At 38.8% G+C, this 9,705-nt stretch overlaps 2 annotated features.

The window, feature by feature from the left end:
• Window positions 361-1,067: an enhancer, noted in NCBI's record as "H3K27ac-H3K4me1 hESC enhancer chr4:157426362-157427068 (GRCh37/hg19 assembly coordinates)". NCBI's record gives its function as "activates a minimal SCP1, AML or CMV promoter by ChIP-STARR-seq in primed H9 embryonic stem cells {active_cell/tissue: H9 hESC(primed)}" and the evidence as "EXISTENCE:reporter gene assay evidence [ECO:0000049][PMID:30033119]".
• Window positions 8,223-8,392: an enhancer, noted in NCBI's record as "experimental_75051 CRE fragment used in MPRA reporter constructs". NCBI's record gives its function as "activates a minimal promoter by MPRAs in K562 erythroleukemia cells, with activity observed for the introgressed 4:157434309 variant allele {active_cell/tissue: K562}" and the evidence as "EXISTENCE:reporter gene assay evidence [ECO:0000049][PMID:34662402]".

Raw genomic sequence — 9,705 nt, forward strand, 5'->3', positions numbered from 1 at the left:
AGCAATCTACAAATTCAATGCAATTCCCATCAAAATCCCATCATCATTCTTCACAGAACTAGAAAAAACAATACGAAAATTCATATAGAACCAAAAAAGAGCCTGCATAGCCAAAGCAAGACTAAGTAAAAAGAACACATCTGGAGGCATCACATTACCTGATTGCAAACTGTACTACAAGGCTATAGTTACTCATATTCATGTGAGCATTTCTAAAACACTGCAATAAGGTTATAAAGTATATGCATGTTGATATAAATGTTCAGTTTCCAAGTACAAAACAAATGCAAATGTGCTAATTTTTTTTTTGCTTAGTTTCAGTATTTGCTAAGAAAAGCATAAATCAAAGACAAAGTTCATATGGCATTTAACTCTTGCTTTTGTGTTAGGACATAAAAACACCTTAATAACGTGATGAAAGTAAGTATCTGACATCCTGGTGTTTATTTCCTTAAGAAATATGTCTGGGGTGGGGGGTGGGGCAAGAGGGCTGACTAGAAACAGCGGAGTTTGAAGGCGCCCATTGAAAAGAACCATAATAAGCATGTGACTCATTCACCCGCAACATAGGCATCAGGTTGTCTTATCAGATCTGACTAGGAGGCTGATATGATGCACGGAGAGGAAGGAAGAGCAGTGTGGTGTGGCGGCCCACCCGAGAGCCACACGGGGCAGGAAAGCCCCCACCCCCCCCCAGCCAAGGGAGGTCCCAGATGGGGAAACAGTGCTTTTTTAACGGAACTGTGCAACCCATGGATTAGAAGATCCCACTTGCGAACTCATGCCACCAGGGCCTGGCATCCCAACACCAGAGCCACACAGATTCTCAACAGCCTCTCAGCTGGAATCTGCTTAAGCCTACCAAGCTCCTGCAGGGAGGGGCAACCAGCACCACAGCTGTAACTGCGTGCTCTGTAAGCAGTTTGAGCTCCTTGGGGGAGGGGCAGCAGCCAGCACTGGGACTCACAGCCGCCTAACATGCTAAGCTCCCTGGGCGGGGGAAGGGTGGTCTCCATCTCCACAGCTCCTGGTCACTTTTTTCTCCCTGGCTGGAGCCAGGAAGACTAGACAGCTTGGTCCCAAGAGATGTGCCCCACAGCCCACCACACTGGCTGTGGCAGACTGTGGCCAGAGTGCCACATCAGGCCTGACCCTGACTCTTCCTTCCTCACTGAGTGGGGATTCCCTGCAGGAACTCCAATAACTCCAGCCAGAGGCTCGGGGACAGAACCCAGATCTCCCTGGGTCTGAGCCCCTAGGGAGAGGGGTGGTCACAGTATCTGCAGACCAGTAGACTTAGCCTTTCCTCCTGGTAGTTCTTAGGAATCCAGGCAGCCCAGACAAGTGGGTTTTCCCTGAGGGAAGCATACCCCCTCTACCAGGGACAATCAAAGTGTATTCTTAAATGGGTCCTGATCCCTGTGCCACCCAACTGGGTGAGATCCTCCAACGGGTTGTCAGACACCCTGTACAGGAGCAATCCTACTGGCTTCAGATTGGAGCCCCTTGAGGTCAGAGATCCCAGAAGGAGCAGATATCCATCTTTGCTGTTCTCCTGCCTCCTTGAATGACATCTCCAGGCACAGTAGCAAACCAGATGAATTGGGCCTGAAGTGAACCCCCAACAAACCACAGCAGCCCTACAGAAGAGGGACCTGACCATTGAAAGAAAAACAAACAAACAGAAAGTAACAACAACAGCATCAACAACAACAAAAAAGTCCCCACAAAAACCCCATTCAAGGGTGAGCAGCCTCAAAGATTGAAACTAGACAAACTCATGAAGATGGCACAGAATCAACAACAAAAAAAAAGTGCTGAAAACCCAAAAGGCCAGAGTGCCTCTTCTCTTGCAGATAATCGCAACATCTTTCCAGCAAGGGCACAACACTGGTCAGAGGATGAGATGGATGAATTGACAGAAGTAGGCTTCAGCAGATGGGTAATAAAAAAGTACACTAGCTAGCTAACCCAATACAAACAAGCTAAGAACCTTAACAAAAAGTTACAGGAGCTGCTAACTAGAATCACCAGTTTAGAGAGGAACATAATGACCCAACAGAGCTGGAAAACACAGCACAAGAACTTTGTGAGGTATACACAATAATAAATAGCCGAATTGGCCAAGTGGAAGAAAGGATATCAGAGTTTGAAGACCACCTTACTGAAATCAGGCATGCTGAAAAGATTAGATAGAAAATGATGAAAAGGAATGAACGAAGCCTCCAAGAAATATGGGACCTCGTAAAAAGACCAAACCTATGATTGATTGGAGTACCTGAAGGAGATGGGGAGAATGGAAACAAGCTGGAAAACACACTTCAGGATATTATCCAGGAGAACTTCCCCAACCTAGCAAGACAGGCCAACATGCAAATTCAGGAAATATAGAGAGCACCACTAAGATGCTCCATGAGAAGATCAATCCCAAGATACATAATTATCAGATGCAGGAAAAAGTGTTAAAGGCAGCCAGAGAGAAAAGCCAGGTCACCTACGAAGGGAAGCCCATTAGACTAACAGTGGCCCTCTCCGAAGAAACTACAAGTCAGAAGAGATTGGGGGCCAATATTCAACATTCTTAAAGGAAAGCATTTTCAACCCAGAATTTGATATCCAGCCAAACTAAGCTTCATAAGCGAAGGGGAAATAAAATCCTTTCCAGACAAGCAAATGCTGAGGGATTTTGTTACCACCAGGGCTGCCTTGCAAAAGCTCCTGAAAGAAGCACTAAATAGGGAAAGAAAAATCTGGTACCAGGCACTGCAAAAACACACCAAAATATAAAGATCAATGATACTATGAAGAAACTGCATCAACTAGTGTGCAAAATAACCAGATAGCATCATGATGACAGGATCAAATTCACACATAACAATACTAACCTTAAATGTAAATGAGCTAAATGCCCCAAATAAAAGGCACAGACTGGCAAATTGGATAAAGAATCAAGAACCATACTTGTGCTGTATTCAGGAGGCCCATCTCACGTGCAAAGACACACATAGGCTCAAAATAAAGAAACGGAGGAAAATTTACCATGCAAATGGAAAGCAAAAAAAAAAAAAAATGCAGGGGTTGCAATCATCATCTCTGGCAAAATAGACTTCTTTAAACCAACAAAGATAAAAAAAGTCATAGAAGGGCATTACATAATGGTAAAGGGAACAATTCAACAAGAAGAGCTAACTATTCTAAATATATATGCACCCAATGCAGAAGCACCCAGATTTATAAAAGAAGTTCTTAGAGACCTACAAAGAGACTTAGACTCCCACACAATAATAGTGGGAGACTTTAACACCCCACTGTCAATATTAGATCAATGAGACAGAAAATTAACAAGGATATTCAGGACTTGAATGAGCTCTGGATCAAGTGGACCTGATAGACATCTACAGAACTCTCCACCCCAAATCAACAGAATATACATTCTTCTAAGTGCCATATGGCACTTATTCTAAAATCGACCACATAATTGAAAGTAAAACACTACTCAGCAAATGCAAAAGAACTGAAATAATAACGAAGTCTTTCAGACCACAGTGCAATCAAATTAGATCTCAGGATTAAGCAACTCACTCAAAACCACATGATTACATGGAAATTGATCAAACTGCTCCTGAATGACTCCTGGGTAAATAATGAAATTAAGGCAAAAATCAAGAAGTTCTTTGAAACCAATGAGAACAAAGAGACAATGTACCAGAATCTCTGGGACACAGCTAAAGCAGTGTTAAGAGGGAAACTTATAGCACTAAAATGCCCACATCAGAAAGCTAGAAAGATCTCAAATTGACACCCTAACATCACAATTAAAAGAGCTAGAGAAATAGGAGCAAACAAATCCAAAAGCTAGCAGAAGACAAGAAATAAATACGATCAGAGCAGAATTAAAGGAGATAGAGACATGAGCACCTTCCAAAAATTCAATGAATCCAGGAGCTGTTTTTTTGAAAAAATTAACAAAATAGATGGAACACTAGCTATATTAATAAATAAGAGAGAAGAATGAAACAGACATAATAAAAACAATAAAGGGGATATCACCACTGTCCACACAGCAATACAAACTACCATCAGAGAATACTATAAACACCTCTATGCAAATCAACTAGAAAATCTAGAAGAGATGGATAAATTCCTGGACACATACACCCTCCCAAGACTAAACCAGGAAAAAGTCAAATCCCTGAATAGAGCAATAACAAGTTCTGAAATTGAGGCAGTAATTAATAGCCTACCAAACAACAACAAAAAAACCAGGACCAGATTGATTCACAGGCAAATTCTACCAGAGGTTCAAAGAGGGGCTGGTACCATTCCTTCTGAAACTATTCCAAACAATTGAAAGAAGGGTCTCCTCCCTAACTCATTTAATGAAGGCAGCATCATCCTGATACCAAAACTGGGAAGAAACACAACAAAAGAAAGAAAACTTCAGGCCAATATCCCTGATGAGTATCAGTGCAACAATCCTCAATAATATACTGGCAAACTGAATCCAGCAGTACATCAAAAAACTGAAGCCACCACAATCAAGTTGGCTTCAACCCTGGGATACAAGGCTGTTTCAACATATGCAGATCAATAAATGTAATCCATCACGTAAACAGAACCAAAGATAAAAACCATATGAATATCTCAGTAGATGCAGAAAAGGCCTTTGATAAAATTCAACATCCCTTCATGTTAAAAACTCTCAGGCCAGGTGCGGTGGCTCAGGCCTGTAATCCCAGCACTTTGTGAGGCAAAGGCGTGTGGACCCCCTGAGGTCAGGAGTTCAAGACCAGCCTGGCCAACAAGGCAAAACCCTGTCTCTACTAAAAATACGAAAATTAGTCCCGTGTGGTGGCACATGCCTGTAATCCCAGCTACTCGGGAGGCTGAGGCTGGAGAATCGCTTGAACCTGGGAGGTGGAGGTTGCAGTGAGCTGAGATCCTGCCATTGCACTCCAACCTGTGCAACAAGAGCAATACTCTGTTTCAAAAAACAAACAAACAAACACTCTCAATAAACTAGATATTGATGGAACATACCTCAAAATAGTAAGGGCCATTTATGACAAACTCACAGCCAATATCAGACTGAATGGGCAAAAGCTGGAAGCATTCCCTTTGAAAACCGGTATAAGACAAGGATGCTGTCTCTCACCACTCCTATTCAACATAGTATTGGAAGTTCTGGCCAGGGCAATCAGGGAAGAGAAAGAAAGAAAGGGTGTTCAGATAGGAAAAGAGGAAGTCAAATTATCTCTGCTTGCAGATGACATAATTTTATATTTAGAAAACCCCATCATTCTAGCCCCAAAACTCCTTAAACTGATAAGCAACTTCAGCAAAGTCTCAGGATACAAAATCAATGTGCAAAAGTCACAAGCATTTCTTAACACCAATAATAGACAAGCAGAGAGCTAAATCATGAATGAACTCCCATTCACAATTGCTACAAAGAGAATAAAATACCTAGGAATACAGCTAACAAGGGATATGAAGTACCTCTTCAAGGAGAACTACAAATCATTGCTCAAGAAAATAAGAGAGGACACAAACAAATGGAAAAACATTCCATCCTTATGGATAGGAAGAATCAACATCGTGAAAATGGCCATACTGCTCAAAGTAATTTATAGATTCAATGCTATTCCCATCAAACTACTATTGACATTCTTCATGGAATTAGAAAAAACTACCTTAAATTTCAAATGGAATCAAAGACCCTGTATAACCAAGAAAATCCTAAGCAAAAGGAACAAAGCTGGAGGCATCATGCTACCTGACTTCAACCTATGCTACAAGCATACAATAACCCAAACAGCATGGTACTGTTACCAGAACAGACATACAGATCAATGGAACAGAACAGGGACCTCAGAAATAACACCACACATCTACAACCATCTGATCTTTGACAAACCTGACAAAAACAAGCAATGGAGAAAGGACTCCTATTCCATAAATGGTGCTGGGAAAACTGGCTAGCCATATGGAGAAAACTGAAACTTGACCCCTTCCTTACACCTTATACAAAAATTAACTCGAGGTGGATTAAAGACTTAAATGTAAAACCCAAAACCATAAAACCCCAGAAGAAAACCTAGGCAATTACATTCAAGACATAGGCATGGGCAAAGACTTCATGAGGAAAACACCAAAAGCAATTGCAACAAAAGCAAAAATTGACAAATGGGATCTAATTAAACCAAAGAGCTTCTGCATAGCAAAATAAGCTATCATCAGAGTGAACAGGCAGCCTACAGGAGAAAATTTTTTCAATCTATCCATTGGACAAAGTCTAATATCCAGAATTCACAAGGAACTTAAACAAATTTATAAGAAAAAAAGCCAAGCCCGTTAAAAAGCAGGCGAAGGATAGGAAGAGACACTTCTCAAAAGAAGACATTTCCGCAGCCAAGAAACATATGAAAAACACTCAACATCACTGATCATTTGATAAATACAAATCAAAACCACAATGAGATACCATCTCATGCCAGTCAGAATGGCAATTATTAAAAAGTGAAGAAACAATAGATGCTGGCAGAGAAATAGGAACACTTTTACACTGTTAGTGGGAATACAAATTAGCTCAACCATAGTGGAAGCAATATGGTGATTCCTCAAGGATCTAAAACCAGAAATACCATTTGACCCAGAAATTCCATTACTGGGTATATACCCAAAGGCATGTAAATCATAATAATATAAAGACACATGCACACGTATGTTTATTGCAGCACCATTTACAATAGCAAAGTCATAGAACCAACCCAACTGCCCATCAATGACAGACCGGATAAAGAAAATGTAGTATATATAGACCATGGAGTACTATGCAGCCATAAAAAGGAATGAGATCATGTCCTTTGCAGGGATATGGATGAAGCTGGAAGCCGTCCTCCTCAGCAAACTTAACACAGGAACAGAAAACCAAATACCACATGTTCTCACTCATAAATGGGAGTTGAACTATAAGAACACATGGACACAGGCAGGGGAACAACACACACCAAGACCTGTTTGGGGTGTGGCGGGCAAGGGGAGGGAACTTAGAGAACGGCTCAATAGGTACAGCAAACCACCATGGTACACATATAACTATGTAACAAACCTGCATGTTCTGCACACGTATCCTGGAATTTAAAGTTAAATTTAAAAAAAAAAGAACAAAAAGAAAATAAAAGGAAAAAACAAAGAAAGAAAAAAGAAATATGTCTAGGGGGTAGGCACTTATTGCATTTGGACTTGTATGATGAATAGAGGTGACAGAAATCTGACTCCAATTGGAGAGTCCCAGAACTCTGTAGAGGTGCACCTGGGAGAGGTAAGAAGAGCAAATGCTATCTTTCTTGTGCACAGCCATTCACAGGACTACCTAGAGTGTGGCCAAATGGAAAATTGTGCTAATCAGCTGCTTGATTTGTGTCAGACTGGAATCTAACAAGGAATAATTGCTTTGTTGTTTTATTTTTAATATATCGCCAAATATCAGCTAATCACAAGGTCTAAGTTTCTCTTTTACTATATATCAAGAACTCAAATGATGATTAAATAAGTATAATAAAGAGTTCCAAAGTGTAAAATAGCTTCATTATCAAACATTAAACTTTTTATTTTACCTTTGCCCTCATCTCCACTTTTCTGCCTATTTTAGTTTAAAAATGTCAGTGACAATCTAGTGCCATTGTTCAAGAAAATTTGAAGGTGGAATCATTCATTTGTGCATTTATGTGCCAGAGTCTGAAAGTCTAAAATTTCTATTATTACAAATAAGCATCAAAGTATGAGTTAAACAAAAAGTTCACAAAAATCTAGACTGATAATGATAAAACTAAACTAATAGTGATTTATACTGGAAGGAAAAATAAAATGAAAGCAACGACCTACATGAAGCAGGTTTTAGGATGTACCATGTGAAGTTTGTTCTGTGCAAAACAAAAGTGCTGACTGCCTGTGTCCGCACAAGCATGAGAGCCACTCTGTAACACTGCCAAGTATCATATGTCAGCAGGACTTCCAAGTACAGTACACTGAGTTGAGTTTTTGGTAAACTCTACAAACAAATTAACTTTGGTTTACACATTAAAAATTGTTAATTCTCAATAACTCACATATTATTATACTAACTCTTATTCATGCTCAAAACAAGAAAATACAGAATTTTAGTTTGTTCATCAGCAGAGAGGACCTGCCTTCATTTTTCAGAAGTTGATATTAGACATACAACTTAATTATTCAAATTCCAATATCCTGTGTTTTTTAATAGAATAACAAATGCATGGCAATGATCCGTATTATATAAGGCCTCTCTGTGAAGCCATTGATTGATGCTAAACACGCATGTCTAAATTAAGAATTCCGTAAATTTTGCTGCTATGAATAAAATCTGCATCCTTTTTTGTCTTCTGAGTGAAATCCTTCTGAAGTACCAATTTGAATCACAAACTAAACTTGTTTTTTTGAAAATGTAGTGGATATCTGACTAGATTGGGGTAAGGAAGATAACAAGGTGTGAATTAAAATTATGATATGCGTTTTTAAAAGATATGTAAAATTTTATATTTAATTAATTATGCAACTGTAATATTATTTGACCAATTTAAATAACTTTAAATTTATATTTGAAACATCTTGAAAGGACAGGGGATAGCTTACAAACTTACTGTAAAAGTTTAAGAGATAAATATGTAATTCGTATTCCCATCTGCTGTATCCAAACTTTCATTTTATCCAATTATTACATCTTTGTTCATAAGTACATATAATTTGCTGAAGTTTTGCTTTTTTTACTTATATCATTAAAAGCCATTATTGAATCTATGTATTCACTTAAAATAGACTATTCTGTGCTATCAGTTAACTCCATGATGTTAGCAGTTTATAACCAGAAAGGTTCGCTTCTCACTCACTCTGAATGCCGATTATGGGTTTTTGGGGCCTCTGTTTCAGAGCTTGTCATTTGGAGATCCAGGCTGAGAAAGGTTGAGCGGAGAGGAGACTGACACACAGCTTCGAAGCTCTGCCTGCAAGTGAAGCACAGAACTGTCACCCACATTTGCTTGGCCACCTAACTTCAAAGGAGCAAGGAAATGCAATTTTACCACAAGCCTGGAAAGGAAGAAGAACATATATGTTTTTAGTAGTACTAATGATTAGACTGCCTATAATTAAACACTGAATTTTCTTTTAATCTTTCTACAATCATGCGTAGTGCTACGATGAATATTTTCACATAATGTTTCCTGTTATTTCTATAGAACAAATTCCCAATAATGGAATTACTGGATCAAGAATATGAATATTATAATGACCCAATACATATTACCTATTGCTTTTCAATATTATAGTAAATAAAAATCTTATTCTGCCAGGAGCCACTTGTTATTTATCTTTATATCTCCAGTCCTACCAGTGTCCCAGGGTACAGCCAATGAAATCTTCACTAATAAATAAGACATTACATTCTAGCTTATGATTCTGCACTTGAATTTTATTTGTCTTGAAATATTATGTCTTTAAATGGAGAAATTTAAATTATTTTAATTGAGAAAAAATATTTTGGAGAGTCATAATTGTTAGAAATCTACCATTTTTTATTTACACATCAATTTGCAATGCCAAACACAGATTGTTCATAGAGGAGGCTTGACACAATCTTATTAGTACTAGTATATATATATACACACACACACATATATATGTACA

Source organism: Homo sapiens, chromosome 4 (assembly GCF_000001405.40).
Source record: "Homo sapiens chromosome 4, GRCh38.p14 Primary Assembly".
Taxonomy (NCBI): Eukaryota; Metazoa; Chordata; class Mammalia; order Primates; family Hominidae; genus Homo; species Homo sapiens.